General features: G+C 44.5%; 1 long non-coding RNA gene across 2 annotated transcripts in view, besides 8 other annotated features; it reads right to left on the bottom strand.

The window, feature by feature from the left end:
* Positions 1-15,781, bottom strand: part of MAILR (macrophage interferon regulatory lncRNA) — a 113,606-nt gene that overhangs the window by 67,667 nt on the left and 30,158 nt on the right. The gene's annotated exons all lie outside the window — the stretch shown is intronic.
* Positions 55-349: an enhancer, noted in NCBI's record as "tiled region #791; HepG2 Activating non-DNase unmatched - State 23:Low". NCBI's record gives its function as "activates a minimal TATA promoter and a strong SV40 promoter by Sharpr-MPRA in HepG2 cells {active_cell/tissue: HepG2}" and the evidence as "EXISTENCE:reporter gene assay evidence [ECO:0000049][PMID:27701403]".
* Positions 2,834-3,410: an enhancer, noted in NCBI's record as "NANOG-H3K27ac hESC enhancer chr8:103919028-103919604 (GRCh37/hg19 assembly coordinates)". NCBI's record gives its function as "activates a minimal SCP1, AML or CMV promoter by ChIP-STARR-seq in naive H9 embryonic stem cells {active_cell/tissue: H9 hESC(naive)}" and the evidence as "EXISTENCE:reporter gene assay evidence [ECO:0000049][PMID:30033119]".
* Positions 2,834-4,350: a biological region, named in NCBI's record as "MED14-independent group 3 enhancer GRCh37_chr8:103918088-103919287".
* Positions 3,151-4,350: an enhancer, noted in NCBI's record as "MED14-independent group 3 enhancer chr8:103918088-103919287 (GRCh37/hg19 assembly coordinates)". NCBI's record gives its function as "activates an origin of replication core promoter dependent on BRD2, BRD4, P300/CBP and CDK7 cofactors, and independent of MED14, by STARR-seq in HCT116 cells {active_cell/tissue: HCT116}" and the evidence as "EXISTENCE:reporter gene assay evidence [ECO:0000049][PMID:35650434]".
* Positions 4,565-5,140: an enhancer, noted in NCBI's record as "NANOG-H3K27ac-H3K4me1 hESC enhancer chr8:103917298-103917873 (GRCh37/hg19 assembly coordinates)". NCBI's record gives its function as "activates a minimal SCP1, AML or CMV promoter by ChIP-STARR-seq in primed H9 embryonic stem cells {active_cell/tissue: H9 hESC(primed)}" and the evidence as "EXISTENCE:reporter gene assay evidence [ECO:0000049][PMID:30033119]".
* Positions 10,990-11,049: an enhancer, noted in NCBI's record as "active region_27782". NCBI's record gives its function as "activates an Ori minimal core promoter by ATAC-STARR-seq in GM12878 lymphoblastoid cells {active_cell/tissue: GM12878}" and the evidence as "EXISTENCE:reporter gene assay evidence [ECO:0000049][PMID:35858748]".
* Positions 14,113-14,242: a silencer, noted in NCBI's record as "fragment chr8:103908196-103908325 (GRCh37/hg19 assembly coordinates)". NCBI's record gives its function as "represses an EF-1alpha promoter that drives an FKBP-Casp9 reporter gene in an ReSE screen in phorbol 12-myristate 13-acetate-treated (for megakaryocytic differentiation) K562 erythroleukemia cells {active_cell/tissue: K562(+PMA)}" and the evidence as "EXISTENCE:reporter gene assay evidence [ECO:0000049][PMID:32094911]".
* Positions 14,758-15,305: an enhancer, noted in NCBI's record as "H3K27ac-H3K4me1 hESC enhancer chr8:103907133-103907680 (GRCh37/hg19 assembly coordinates)". NCBI's record gives its function as "activates a minimal SCP1, AML or CMV promoter by ChIP-STARR-seq in naive H9 embryonic stem cells {active_cell/tissue: H9 hESC(naive)}" and the evidence as "EXISTENCE:reporter gene assay evidence [ECO:0000049][PMID:30033119]".

Genomic DNA, 15,781 nt, shown 5'->3' with positions numbered 1-15,781 from the left:
ACCGATCTCATAGGGTTATTGTTAAGATTAGCTAAAATAATTATTTAAAAGCACTTTGCATTGTTAAACACTATGAAAAAGAAGGCTTGATTATTAACCAACTCTCTGCTCACATCCAGCAGCTTATGGACCATTATGCATGGCAGGAAATGCAGATTTAACAGCCACCAGCTACATGCTTTCAAAAAGTCTGTCATCACATTGGCATCTCCTGCTTGGAAACAAACAGTTTCCTCATTGCTGTGGCATTCTGCAGAGCTGAAAGGGCCACACCAGGAAAACCCAAATGAATGAATACTCACTTCAAACTGCTTTTGTAAAACATGTCTCCAGAGTCTTGAGAGATGCAAACAAAATTGCTCTTACAGAGGTGAGAGAAGACAGGGGTACCCGAGTGCAGTTGTACATACATGGATCATTATGAAACTTCCTAATTTTGATAGCGTTCTATTATGTCAACCCTAAAATACAACACGTGGGAACAAATTACATGAATTTTTCTTTTAATGAAAATCATCAAATTGTGGCAAAACCATGATGTTTGATGTATCCTAATTTTAAATATTCTCATATTTTCTAAGTATTTTTTTAAAAAATGTTATTTTGTGTATTTAAAGTATACAGCATGATGTTATGAGATACATATAAACAGTAAAATGGTTACAAATTACATGAATTTTTCTTTTAATGAAAATCATCAAATTGTGGCAAAATCATGATGTTTGATGTATCCTAATTTTAAATATTCTCATATTTTCTAAGTATTTTTTTAAAAAATGTTATTTTGTGTGTATACAGCATGATGTTATGAGATACATATAAACAGTAAAATGGTTACTATAGTGAGGCAAATTAACATATCCATCATCACACAGTTACCCCCCGCTTTTTGTGGCAAGAGCAGCTATAATCTATTCATTTAGCAAAAATCCCAAATGCCATACACTATTATTAACTCATGTTGCACATTAGATTTCCAGACTTGTTCATCCTACATGTTTGCTACTTGCATTCTTTGACCTACATCTCCCCTGTTCTCCCCTCTACCTGCCTCTGGTAACCACTGTTTTACTCTCTTTCACTGTAATTTGACTTTTTTCTTTAGAGTCCACATATAAGTGAGATCCTATAATATTTTTCTTTCTGTGTATGGCTAGTTTCACTTAGCATAATGTCCCCCAGATTCATCCATTTTGTAGCAAATGGCAGAATCTCCTCCTTTTTTGAGGCTGAATAACATATTATTGTATAGATGCACCACAGTTTCTTTATCCATTCATCCACTGATGGGCACCTAGGTAGCTTCCATATCTTGGCTATTGTGAATAATGTCACAAAGAACATAGGAGTTCAGATATCTTTACAAGGTGTTTTTGTTTTTTTTTTGTTTTTTTTTTTTGAGATGGAGTTTCACTCTTGTTGCCCAGGCTAGAGTGCAATGGCACCATCTCGGCCCGCCTCCCGGGTTCAAGCGATTCTCCTGCCTCAGCCTCCAGAGTAGCTGGGATTACCCACCATGCCCGGCTAATTTTGTATTTTTAGTAGAGACGGGGTTTCTCCATGTTGGTTAGGGTGTTCTCTAACTCCCAACCTCAGGTGATCTGTCTGCCTCGGCCTCCCAAAGTGCTGGGATTACAGGCGTGAGCCACTCCACCCAGCCTACAAGGTGGTGATTTCATTTCCTTTGGGTATAAACTGAGATTGCTGGATCCTACGGTGGTTCTATTTTTAATTTCTTTGGGAACCTCCATATTGTTCTCCATAATGGCTGCACCAAACTACACTCCCACCAACAGCACATAAGGGTTCCCTTGTCTCTACACTCTGGCCAACAGTTATCTTTTGTCTTTTTGATAATAGCTATCCATGGATGTGAGGTGACATTTCATAGTGGTTTTGATGTTTTATTTTTATATACCTGTTGGCCATTTTTATGTCTTCTTTGAAGAAATATCTATTCAGGTCCTTTGTCCATTTTAAAAATTGGGTTATATGTTTTCTTGTTATTGAGTTGTATGAGTTCTTTGTAAGCTTTGGATACTAACAACTTACCAGATATATGGTTTGCAAATATTTTTTTCCCAATCTGTAGGTTGCCTTTTCATTGTGGTGATTGTTTCCTTTGCTGTGCAGAAGCTTTTTAGTTTGATGCAGTCTCACTTATTTTTACTTTTGTAGCCTCAGCTTTTGCTATGATATGCAAAATAATCATTGCCAAGGCCAATGTCAAGGAGCTTTTCTCCTGTGTTTTTTTCTAGGAGTTTTATTGTTTCCAGTCTTATGCTTAGGTCTTGCATGCATTTTGAGTTGATTTTTGCATGTGGTGTAAGAGTCTAATTTTATTCTTTTACCTGTGGAAATCAAGTTTTCTCAGTACCATTTATTGAAGATACTGTTCTTTTCCCAGGTGTCTTCTTGTTACTCTTGCCAAAAATTAGTTGACCATATAGGTTTGGCTTTATTTCTGGGCTTCTAAGAATTCTTAAAGGTTATCTGGCCGGGCACAGTGGCTCACACCTGTAATCCCAGCACTTTGGGAGGCCAAAGAGGTAGATCACGAGGTCAGGAGTTCAGGACCAGCCTGGCCAACATGGAGAGACCATGTCTTACTAAAAATACAAAAATTAGCCAGGCATGGTAGCGCACTCCTGTAATCCCAGCTACTCAGGAGGCTAAGGCAGGAGAGTTGCTTGAACCCTGGAGGCAGGGGTTGCAGTGAGCCGAGGTCACACCACTGCACTCCAGCCTGGGCAACAAGGCGAGACTGTGTCAAAAAAAAAAAAAAAAAAAAAAAAAAGAAGTTACCCTGGTTTGCCCCACTTGCTTGTGAAAGGTTAGAAAGTTCATTGGTGGGGCAGTTATTTCCAAGCCCAATCCTACAATCCGATGCAGAAAAAAATTATAAAACTGATGATGGCCTCATATACCAAGCATCATAAAGTATGAGGCATGAAAAGGAGGGAGAGGAGAATAAAGAGAAGAAAAAGAAGAAAGACTCACAAAAAAATACTAAAAATGGAAAGTCTATGAGAAGAGGATAAAAGGCAGTGGCTTATGTCTGTATTCTTAGCATTTTGGGAAGGGAAGCAGGAGGATCACCTGAGCCCAGGAGTTTGAGACCAGCCTGGGCAACATAGTGAGAGACCCTGCCTCTACAAATCAGTTTTTAAAAATTGATTTTTATTTTTTGACTACAAGTGGCGTACACCTGTAGTCCCAACTACTTGGGAGGCTGGGGTGGGAGGATCCCTTGAGCCCAGCAGGTCAAGGCTGCAATGAGCCAAGATTGCACCACTGCACTCCAGCCTAGGTGATAGAGTAAAAACCTGTCTCAAGGCAAAAAAACAAAAAAAGAAAAAAAAAGGAAACATTACTTGATTCCCCATCAATGTTGAACAACTTTCACAGTAAGCGTTATAATATTATGGCAAGAGCAGCTATAATCTATCCATTTAGCAAAAATGTATGTGCATACATGTGTTAATGAAGTCTCAAACTGTAGAGAAAGACCTTACCAACTGTGGACCTCATTTAATTCTTCTAAAACAACAGCATAATGAAGATTATGGTTAAGAGTTCTGGCTTTGAAGTCAAACTGTTGGGTTTGAATCCCAGTTCGACTTCTGACTGTGACAGAGATTCCTATTTGTTTTCCATTATCCATTCTCGCCTTCTTCCCTGAATTTTAGCTGTATGAGTCACCTTCCAGTCAGACTACATTTCCCAGATTCTTTTGCAACTGGGTATGGCCATTGGACCACATTCTGGCCATTGAAATATGAGCCCAACTTCCAGGTTATGCCCTTAAAAGGGAAGGTTGTGTCTTCCACTTCCTCCCATTTCTTCCATTGGAATGCAGAGGTGGCATTGCTCCATCTTTGACAAGGTGGAATAGGGTATTCCCTAGAGAAGGCAGAGCAACAAGAAAGAAGAAACCTGGGTCCCCAACAAGACTCAGCTGTCTTATCAGCCCTGGACTGCTCATGATGAGACTAACATGAGAGAGAAACTCCTATTTTGTCTAAGCCACTGTGACATTATGCCTTAGTAGTCAAATGGATTTCCTTAAAAGTAACAGTGATTGGGCTGGGCACAGTGGCTCATGCCTGTAATCCCAGCACTTTGGGAGGCCAAGGCGGGCAGATCACGAGGTCAAGAGATTGAGACCATGCTGGCCAACATGGTGAAACCCCGTCTCTACTAAGAATACAAAAAATAGCTGGGTTTGGTGGTGCACGCCTGTAGTCCCAGCTACTTGGGAAGCTAAGGCAGGAGAATCGCTGGAACCCAGGAGGCTGAGGTTGCAGTGAGCAGAGATCGCGCCACTGCATTCCAGCCTGGCGACAGAGTGAGACTCCATCTCAAAAAAAGAGAAAAAAATAAGTAACAGTGATTAAAAGTAAGTTACTTAACCTCCATGGGTCTCAGTTTTCTTTTCTTTTACTCACTGCAACCTGGACCTCCCAGGTCCAGGTGATCCTCCTGCCTCAGTCTCCTGAGTAGCTAAGACTACAGGCACGCGCCACCATGCCCGGCTAATTTTTGTATTTTTTGTAGAGATGGGGTATTGCCATGTTGCTCAGGCTAGTCTTGAACTCCTGGGCTCAAGCAATCCTCCTGCCTTGGCCTCCCAAAGTGGTGGGATTACAGGCATGAGCCACCACACCCAACCTTATTTTATTTTTTGTAGAGATGCGGTCTTGCTTTGTTGCCCAGGCTAGTCTCAAATTCCTGTCAGCCCTCCTCCTTTATTTCAATCCACTTTACCCACCAAAAAGAGCTCAGTCCCCATCACGTGAGATGAAGAACCTATCTATGTCCCCAAGACCTCAGGGCTGAGGTGCTTCTGGTATATGAAGTGTGCTGGCACTCCTCCCAAAGCCACCCATGTTTGCAAGAGGCAAAAGAAGCTTCTGGAAGGGAGCAGTGAGACCTAGAGTCTCTCCTTTTATTTCAAAGTTAATGTAATATCTCCACTGTACTCAGGGGGGTGCAGACTTGGGTGGCTTGGGCTGAGATCGGCTGGCAAGAAATAGGAGCAGTGCTTCTGAAGAGGCCCAAGGTTGAGGCCTGTCCTGGAGAGCTGACTCCAGGAGCAGCGTGCAGCTGGTCCCTTGTGCCCAGCCATCTTCTGCCATGGCTGTACCTGGGGAAAGTGCCTGAATGTCATGGAAGAATCGTCACTGAGAGTGTAGGCCCTCTTGGCTGTGGAGGAGTCACATCTAATTACAGCACAGGCACTCTGTCCTCAGCCTGAGGCTGGGTGCCTCAGTGATGCCTGCATTTCCACTGTGTTCAAGGGTCTCACACACACTGTCTGGTGCAGGCCAGCATGGGTGCCTCAGTTACTTCAGTAGGTCCAGGGATAGATGGAGGCCTCGGCCATTGTGGGGCCTCCTAAGGCAATCAGGCCTTGCCCCACTGGAAGGCTTTTTGTTTGGGGCCCTTAGACTGTAAGGTATTGCAGAGGAAAAGGGCTTACTAATAGACAACGGCAACTAGGACTGACTCCTTAGGTCTGAATGAGTTCCCCTGGGGCTTCCTAACTTTATCCTAAGAAGGACCCCTGTCCCCAAGAAAGAATGGAAATAAAAGGGGGAAAGGAAGAACGTAAAATCATATTTGCTTGACTATAGGTTTACAAAAATCCCTGGAAGGATACATAAGAGACTAGTAACAGATCCGCCCACCACGGCCTCCCGAGTAGCTGAGACTACAGGCATGCGCCACCACGTCCAGCTAATTTTGGTGTTTTTGTAGAGATGGGGTTTCCCCATGTTACCTAGGCTGGTCTTGAACTCCTGGGCTCAAGTGATCTGCTCACCTTGGCCTCCCAAGATGCTGGGATTACAGGTGTGAGCCACCGGGCCCATCCAGTGGTTACCTTTTGCAGGTTGGGGTGGGAAATGGATGGATGCAGGGTGGCTGAGAGGAACATTCTTTACTATCTTCTTATTCTTTCTTGATTTTTGAAGTATCCATAAAACTGAGTCAAAAAAAAAATAAATTAAGACAACAGGAAATTTAAAGGCCATGTCTTCAAATAGTTTAGGAAGGCTGAGTAAGGGTGCCCTAGAGAAGAGGAAGGAGAGAGAAAAAGCAGCTACAGGCCCCATTCCCATGGCAAGGCTGAGGCTCCTGCGGCTTGGCCACAAGAAGCGGGTACAGGAGGAACCAGCTGCCCTTCAGCTCTGCGGGCTTCACCTTGCTATAATTCCAAGATGAAAGGAACGGTGACCTCATTTTGAACTTCATTCTAGTGAAATAGTTACAATTCTTGTCTCTGCTGCCTCTGAAATAGCTCTGGAACCTGGGCTTTCTTCACCTCTCACCTGGATTCCTCTGACAATCTTCAGACTAGTCTCCTTGTCCCAAGCTTCAAATCCATCCACCAGACTTAAATTTCTTTTTTGAAATGAAAACCTGATCATGCCCCTCCAGGCCCCTTCCACACTTAAAACCCTTCAACAGTTGCCCATGTTGCCCATTGAGCTATGACAAAATCTCAGTTCTTTCTATGTCCTTTCAGGATCTGCCACTCTCCTACTCGCCTTTGCTCTACCCACACACGGCTGCTTGTGGTTTTCTGGGTGTCCCATCCTGCCATGCTTTGAGGTTTTGCATATGCAGTTCCTTCTGCATATGCAAAAGGAATATGCATATTCCTTCGTTTTGTGTTTTGTCATCCTGGAAAACTCCATTCTTCCTTCAGGATGTGGCTCAAATGCCATCTCATCTCTGTGACCTTGCCCTGGACCCTGACCCCAGTCACCCAACACACTTTGAATATGTGCTGATTAACACTTATTGTACCCTAGTCGCATTATTTCTACGCCTCTGTTAGACTTTCAACCCCATGACAGACAGCAGGAGTTATGCCTTATCCATCTTTTTATTTCCAGTTTACAGAGAAAACTTGGGTTATAAATGGATCACCAGTTTGCTCTGGATTAAATGCTCAGGACCAGCACATAGAACACTGCTAAGGTACCCCGAGGTTAAGCTTGCCTTCCAGAATTCCGTAAACTTGGCTCTGTCCCTGTCTAAATAATAATGCTGTTTAAACACTACAATTGGCTCTGTCCCTGACTAAATAATGATTGGAGTTTAAACTCTAGCCAGATAAATCCTTTGCTCACTTTTTTTTTTTAAATGCTGAAGTACTTGAAGATGTGGCCTTATACCAAGGAGCACAAAAGTGGTATTATTCACTGTGTAAATGCTTTGAAAGTCAGAACGTGTCACACTCCTTAGTAACACAGCACAGTGATACAGTAGCAACAGGTAGGGTCCAATAGCAACCACGTGTGGACAGACTCACTCTGGGGAAACTCCAAGGAGTAGAGTAATGGTGTTTTTAGTTCCAGCTCAGAAAGCCAAGTGTGGTGTTCACATAGTATGCCTCTCTGTAGGGTAGCTGTGGCAAATGTTAATGGATTTATGAACTGCTAAAAGATTAAACCCCACAGAACTTTTTACATAAAATTTTTTGTTGATTTTTAAAAACTATAGTGAAATGTTCATAATGTACCACTTTAACCATTTTAAAGTGTACAATCCATTGGCATTAACTACATCACAATGTTGTGCAACCATTATCCATTTCCAAAACTTGTTCATTATCCCAGACAGACTCTATGCCCATTAAACAATACCTTCCCATTTCTCCTTTCCCTCTGGTCCCGGGTGTCCGTTCTACTTTCTCTCTTTATGAATGTGCCTATTCTAGGTATCTCATACAAGTGGAATCATACAAAACTTGTGTTTCTGTGTCCGTCTTATTTCACTGAGCATGTTTTCAATGTTCATCCATGTTGTCGCATGTATCAGGACTTCATTCTTGTTTACGGCCAAGTAATATTCTGTTCTATGTGTATAGCACACTTGGTCAACCCATTTATCTATTGATGGACATTTGGGTTGTTTCTCAATAACCTTTAAGCTATTTTGAATAATGTTGCTATGAACATGGATGTACAATTTCTGAATACCTGCTTTCAATTCTTTTGGATATATAGCTAGAAGTGGAATTGCTGAATCTTACGGTAATTCTGTTTACCTTTTTGAAGAATAGCCAAACTGTTTCCCACAGTGGCTGTAACCAGGTGGCGTTTTCACCAGCAATGTACAAGGGTTTCGATTTCTCTACATCCTTGCCAATACTTGTTATTTTTCATTTTTTGATAACAGTCATCCTAATGGGTTTTGTAGTTTTGATTTGAACTTCCCTGGTGACTAGTGAAGTTAAACATCTTTTCATATGCTTATTGGCCATTTGTATACCTTCTTTGAAGAAAGGTCTATTCAAATTATTTGCCCATTGTTTTTTTCAGAGATGGGGTCTTACTCTGTCACCCAGGCTGGAGTGCAATGGCATGATCATAGATCGCTACAACCTTGAATTCCTGGGCTCAAGTGATCCTCCCACCTTGGCCTCCCGAGTAGCTGGGACTACAGGCATGCACCACCACACCCAACTACTTTGCCCTTTTTAAAAATATTTCCAACTTTTACTTCAAGTTCAGTGGTACACGTGCAGGATACTTTGCCCATTTTTTAATACGATTTTTTGTTGTTGTTGAGTTGTAGTTCCTTATGTATTATGGATATTAATCCCTTATCAGATATAATATTTGCAAATATCTTTGCATAACGTTTTTTTGAGATGGAGCCTCACTCTGTTGCCCAAGCTGGAGTGCAGTGGCATAATCTTGGCTCACTGCAACCTCCGCCTCCCAGGTTCAAGCAATTCTCCTGCCTCAGCCTCCCAAGTAGCTGGGATTACAGGTGTGTGCCAGCATACCCAGCTATGGGATGTATTTTTAGTAGAGACGGGTTTCGCCATGTTGGCCAGGCTGGTATCTAACTCCTGACCTCAGGTGATCTGCCTGCCTCGGCCTCCCAAAGTGCTGAGATTACAGGCATGAGCCACCATGCCTGGCCATGTCTGGCCTTTGCATAACTTTTTAAACGTCATCCAAAATAAAGTACTAATGTTATAATTAACAGCAATCGGAGTGGTGATGCTCAGCTTTTCGGATGCTAAAATGAAACCTATGCTGCCAGCTGGGAGACACCCTTCCTTCCTGTCAGTGTCTTAGAAATGGGGGTGAGCAATCAGCAGCAACAGGTGGCAAGGAGAGTCCAGTAGGTAGTGTGGGAGCCAAAGGATGAACAGGGCTGAAGTCTCATTTCCAGAACAAGAAGGTCAAGGAACAGATCCTGGATTCTCCTGCCACCATGAATGCTGACTGAGAAGGCCATTCCTGCTTCTTCCTCTCAGTGATCAATTAGAGACATCAGTTACTGAATTACAACCTGGTCAGATCCTGCCCCCTCCTCTCTCCTCCCAACCTTGTTCCCTAATTGGGATTTGGCAGTTGTTTCAGGCCAGGTTTTCTTTTCACTTTATTTCTAAGGGCTCCTTCAAGGCTGAAAACGAGATGGCAATAAGATAGCTGAAAGTCCTCATCTCCCCAAAATAAAGCACAGGGAAGGACATGGGTTCAGGGGCCAGTTGTAGCACCATGTTTGAGCCCAATCTTTGAAGCTGCTGGCTGTGTTGGAATCCTGGATCCCGTTTATGAGCCTGGTGATTGTGGGAAATCAGGTCCCCTCTTTGTGCCTCATTTTCTTCATCTGCCAATGGGGGATAGTAATAGGATCTGCATCAGCTGGTTGTGGTGAGGATTAAATGAGGTAGTTCCCAGAATGTGCTTAGATCAGAGATGGCATATTGTAAGGGCTTAATAAGCATTAGCTATTATTATCCTCACTCCCTCCAAGTTCCCTCTTAAGCTCTGGAATTGGCATGTTCCTGCAGGGTCATTTGGGGAGTGACCCCAAATACTGCTCCTCTTATGGTGTTCTGCTGTATGCCTTTCCAGGATGGCTGACGGCATGTTCTACGAATAGGCAATGACGCCACCAAATGTATCTAGCACTCGTAGTTGATAACCTTAGAAACTGAGTCACAGTGCCCAGATACAAAGCAAGTGAAGAGGGTGTCCCAGAGGAAGATGATTCGTTCAGAGCCACCCTGTGGAGAATATCAACAGCACTCTGCGATATTATCCTTGACCACCTAAAATAGCAACACGCTCACCTGGGAACCTGATATAATTTCAGTGTTGCCACCAAGAGCCAGTTATAGCAGCAGCAACCCAACCATGGATGGGGCTAGCATGCCCAGGAAGAGATGTCTGAATGAACACTCTGACTCACGCTAGAACCACTATGGAAGAGAAGCAAAGGATTAAGCAGCCCAGATTCCTACTCATCAGCTGCGTAACATGCGCAAGTTACTTAATTTCTGTGGGCCCCAATTTTTATCATCTATAAGATGGAGATAATAGTGCTACCCACTTTGTGCCATTTTATGAGGATAAGAGTTAAGATGTGTACAGGACTTAGAACAATGCCTGGCATATAGTAAGTGCTCTCTTAAAAATGTATGTAATTTTCATCTACCCATTCAGATCAGTAACAGAAAAAAATAAATTTTAAAAAATGTATGTAATGCTCTAGGTTCATCCACTGCCAAACACACAGTGATGGAAGAGAAATGTAACTATCAGGGAGAGACAGACGGAGAGGGTGACCCCAAATCCACCAAGCAGCCCGCCTGGCTGTACGGTGAGGGAGAAGATAGCTTGGTGCCATGTCTTGGTGTTGGTGCTTAACCACAGTGGTTTCCCCCACAATCACCCAGAGACACCTGCAGCAGCAGTGTAGGAAGCAGGGCAAGGAAAGATAAGGAAGCCTTACTGGAGCTCTTTTGAGGGTAGGTATTGGGAGGTACCCAGGGGAAGGGCATTCATTCCATTCCAAACATCTTGAAGGAAGACCAGTTTACATTTGCATATAACTTAAGCAACATCAACTTCATTATTTTTTTCAAACAGCCTTTAGCACAGAGATTACATTAGAATAAATTATAAAACCCATCCATGGCTCTCCACACCTCTGCAATTTCCAAACTGAGTTCATGTCAGGCAATGGCCAAGGGTGCTATCCTTTTATGCTCTAAGTAAGCATGCAGAGTCCGCTGCTAGTGATACCACTCGGTGTCCCATGAATACCTCCACGCAGCCCCGTGGTTTTGCAGTGGTGAACTGCCAACTCTCAGGTTTCAAACCCCTTTTGGTTTGGCATTTTGGCAGTTGTTCCCTTCCTGTCTCACTGGCATTTCCTGGTACCCACTCTTGCTAAATTCATCAGCTTGAAGCAGCAGTACAGTGTGAGAATGAAAAGCGCAGTGCTTGAGAACCAGAAGGAAGTTCAGACCCGCTTCCAGTTTTTACTGGCTTTGCGAGTTTAGGCAAATTCCTCCATCTCTCAAAGCCTTAGTTTCCCCATAATCAAAATAGGAATCACCTGCATCTTCCAGAGCTGTCTCGGGGATCAGAGGCAACAAAGAAGTGCTTAGCACATACCTGGCAGAGTGAGCGCTGGCTAAAATGGGAGCTATTATTAGCAGGCAGGGGACAGCAGATCTGAGCCCTGCAGCTGCTCTTTTGAATCCTGACCCCTCTTCTCTCCTTCCTCCCAGTCACCAGGTTGTAGGAGTGGAATAATTCCTAATGTGTTGAAATCTGGGTGGGGCACAGGTATATTTAAAATTACAAACCATCTTGTGACTAGCCATTTCAGCTGTGCAGACTGCAAAGCACCATGTGCCCTAGGAACTAATTATTGCTACTTTGTGAAGAAATTCGGGTTGGGGACTGGAAAGGAGAAGGTCCCCACAGAGTGGATTCCTCCATGGCAGAGTCTCAGATACTGTGTGTCATCTGGGAAAGAACTCTAACGCACCACCCAGGGGAAGGGGAAGTCAGTTGTTCTCTGTTCTCCGCGTTCCAACTGGATCACTTGAGACGGCTGGGGACAGTTGAGCCAGAAACAGGAGGTACTAGGGTTTGTTTTTGGCACCAGGGAAACCAGACTCTAAACTGATCATTATCTGCTCTTGCAAAATAAAACAACAAACAACAAGAAGCAGAAAACAACCCCAGGTGTCTTTGGTCAGTATTAAATAGTATGTTTGCTTCCTTTGAAGCAAGTTCACAGAAACAGTTACTACAACAAGACTGCAGGGTATTTGGTGACCTTTTACAGAACTGGAATGAGCTCTACTTGTCTTCCAGGCAGAAACAAAACAAAGAGATCTTTGGGTCCTCTAGTTCTAAAGGAAACAGACCTTATCACTTTGAGGTCACCCTTCTCCCTCTTGTCTAGCTATGTTAATATCAAATGAAAGACACAAAAGGGTCAAACGTGCCCACGCTTATCTCTTAGCCAAATCCTGGCTTTCTTGGCTGAAAGCAAGTTTTTAGCACAGGTTGCTTTCCACCAGTCTCGGGTGAACCAGATCTTTCTCCCAGGAGTTCCCTGGGACAGCTGTCCAAGAACCTCACCCACAAAGTCCTTTTCACCAGGAAGTGTTAAGTTCCACCTGCCTGGCTTTATGAAAGTTGATGTGTCGCCCAGGGTTGAGCGCAATGGTGCGATCTCAGCTCACTGCAACTTCCACCTCTTGGGTTCAAGTGATTCTCCTGCCTCAGCCTCCCGAGTAGCTGAGACTACAGGCACACACCACCACGCCTGGCTAATTTTTGTATTCTTAGTAGAGACGGGGTTTCACCAGGTAGGCCAGGTTGGTCTGGATCTCCTGACCTCAGTTGATCCACCCTCCTCAGCCTCCCGAAGTACTGGGATTACAGGAGTGAGCCACCGCACCCAGCCCCCTGTGGCATTTCTAAGTGAGGCTGTAATATATACACACACGGAGATACATTATCTGCTCTAAAAAGAAAACTTGTGATTTTTTTTTCATTCAGATCAACCTTCCTTGGAAAATTTCCTAACCCGTTTCTTTGGTATTGGCTTTCCCCTTTTTTATTTCCCTTTCCCTTCATTGTTCCTAGGTCTTCTTTGCTCCTCTCCATGGACATTTTTGGAGGAAGGCAAACCAGCTCTACTTGTCAACTGCAAAGGCCAAATATGGGAGTAAAGAAGGTTGGACGAGCAAACCATGCCACAGCTTCAAATCTTGCAGAATATTCCCTCTGACAGCTAATGCCTCTGAACAGAGCTGTCTGGGAACATCAAGAGAAGTCTTAAGCCACTGGCTTGTGAACTCTTTTCATGCCTTTAATCCTCAAGCCTACAGAGACAGGACAATACTAAAGGGAGGGAGTGGGTCTGCAGTTCGGAAGAGCTGCTGTGCCCAGACTCTAGTGCAGCCCAGCTACCCACAGGTCTCCCGGGGTGTTCCTGGAAGCTGCCCACTTGACCCAGCCCTCTCTGCTCTGTCCCTCCCTCAGTGGTCCTGGAATGCTGACATTCAGGCTAGAGCAAGTGAAACACTGTGGGTAAGTGTAAGCAGATATGGTCCTTGGGCCTGCAGCTCCCTCAGTGACCAGGAAACATGCATCTGAGACTAATAGGACTGGAAAAGGAATAAAGGAAGGAGTCCCAGAGCCTCCCCACATGTAAGTTCCAAGTTGGAAATCCACCATGCAATGTTCTTTGTGAGCAGCAGCAGCTTCTCTCCATGGAGTGGCTGGGCACATCCTTGATGATCTCTACCTTGAGGAGAGATTCACGAATCCCCTTGGTATACAGGGAGCAAATTTCCCTGGGGCTTCTCTTGGATAACTCAGCTTTGGTACTGGAGGGGAATTGGAGCTTTGGAACAGGATGGTGGAACCATTCCCTCCCAACTCCCCCCGACCAACACCATCTAACCCTGCCCAAGAAGGAAAAAATCTTTCCTTTTCTTACATATGGGAGCCTTGGATAGAGAAACGGTTTCAGTTCATCTGGTTTTGTTTTGTGTTGTTTTTCCATGTGTGCATGAGAGCCACAAAACAAAAAAAATAAGAAAAGAACAAAACCGGGAGTGTTCACTTTGTTGTTATTGCTACAGAGATGTTTATTCTAAATTTAAATAAACGCATAAAGGAACTTCTCTAAACTTTTTGCTCAGAGGACCAAACTTGAACTTCAATTGGTGAAGGAATCCTGGAATACTGTTCAGGGGAGCAGAGAATCCCCACTCATATCCTCTCTCTTGCCCCTCTCCCCTAAGGGTTTTGATCTTTGCTGTCCACTGTTCTCCACACACGCAACAAATAGACAATGTGTCCCAACCCAAGAAGCTGAAAGTCCTGTGAAGTTCAAACAGAAAATTGTCTTAATAGGCTGCACGTGGTGGCTCACGCCTATAATCCCAGCACTTTGGGAGGCCATGAGGGTGGATCACTTGAGGTCAGAAGTTCGAGACCAGCCTGGCCAACATGGTGAAACCCAGTCTCTACTAAAAATACAAAAATTAGCCAGGTGTGGTGGCACATGCACCTGTAATCCCAGCTACTCAGGAAGCTGAGGCAAGAGAACTGCTTGAACAGGGAAGCAGAGGTTGCGGTGAACCGGGATTGCGCCACTGCACTCCAGCCTGGGTGACAGAATGAGGCTCCCGTCTCCAAAAAAAAAAAAAAAAAAAGAAAAGAAAAGAAAGAGAAAAGAAAAGAAAATTGTCTGAAGGCTGCTGAGAATAAACAGAGAGTAGCAAGGCTGCAGAGAGGCCAGAACTAATCAAACTGACAGTAGCTCCCACTGTTTCACAGGCAGCCACCATGCCCATGCTGTAAATGGATTATCCCACTTGAATATCACAACAACCTAGGGAGGAGGTGCTACATTTATCCCCCCTTTTACAATTCATGAAACAGGCAGCGTAGGATGGGGGTCCAGTGCTCAGTTTCTAACCTCACACAGTGAGGTGTATGTCCTGACCTTGGCAAACCAACTCTATCCTGTGCCGCAGTTTTCTTCTCTAGAAATCAAGTATAGTAATAGTACCAAGAGTTTCTGTGAAGAGTAAATGAGATAAGAAACACAAAGTGCTTAGGGCAGTGCCGGGTACACAGTAAATTATATTTTATCATTATAATCTCATTCACTCAGTTGGGAGGCCATGGAACCAGGATTAGACCCACATCCGGCCACCAAGACCTCTGGCTCCTGGTTGTACAATTGGATTCCAGGAAGGAAGGAGCCTCTGACAAAGCCCTGGAGGCTCGGCCTTGCTTCTCTTGCTTCAAGTACCTGCTGCTCACACAGGTCTGGGTTTTCACTCCACATGAAGGCTGGGCCAAGGCTCAGGTGGCTTCTGACATGCGTCCATCAGCAGTGAACCACAAACACACACACAAAACCTGTGAGTTCCCATCTGTCTTTGCAGTGGCCAGTCTGTGATGCAAATCCCTGCTCTGACAAGCGATTCTGGGAGGACTTTGCTGTACCTTTCAGCCCTGGTGTCCTGCCAAGCACTGTGCTTGAGGCAGCCTCATTCTCGAGCCCTGGCCTTTTGGGCACCAGTCTTTTCTATGAAAAATTCAAAGAGCTCTTTCTTCAGCCCAGCCATGCATCAGCGAAGCACGACATGGGCTTGGCTCAGCACTCCCAATCAGTGGGACTGCTGGACTCCAATCACCAGTGAGGCTGGCCCTCCTCCTACTGGCAGCTCTTTCTGGGGTATTCCCCTGGCTGGTGAGTTCACCCTGGTAACAATTCCAAAGGGACCTCTGTGATTGTTGCTAGAGCAACCATCCCCCACCCCCACATCCACTGTCAGGCAGTGCTTCCCTGAGCTTAGGGAAAGTAGGCCCCAGATTTAAGCCCATGTCACTGCTTAGTGGAGAGGATTGAGGGACATCAAGGAACTACTGCCCCCAGTGTTTTCCCCACTGGTTAGCATTCAGCCTGAGTCTTTTCG

The sequence above is a fragment of the Homo sapiens genome, chromosome 8 (assembly GCF_000001405.40).
Source record: "Homo sapiens chromosome 8, GRCh38.p14 Primary Assembly".
NCBI lineage: Eukaryota > Metazoa > Chordata > Mammalia > Primates > Hominidae > Homo > Homo sapiens.
Note: the sequence above shows the minus strand (reverse complement) of the source record. Positions and strands in the feature narration are given on the sequence as shown.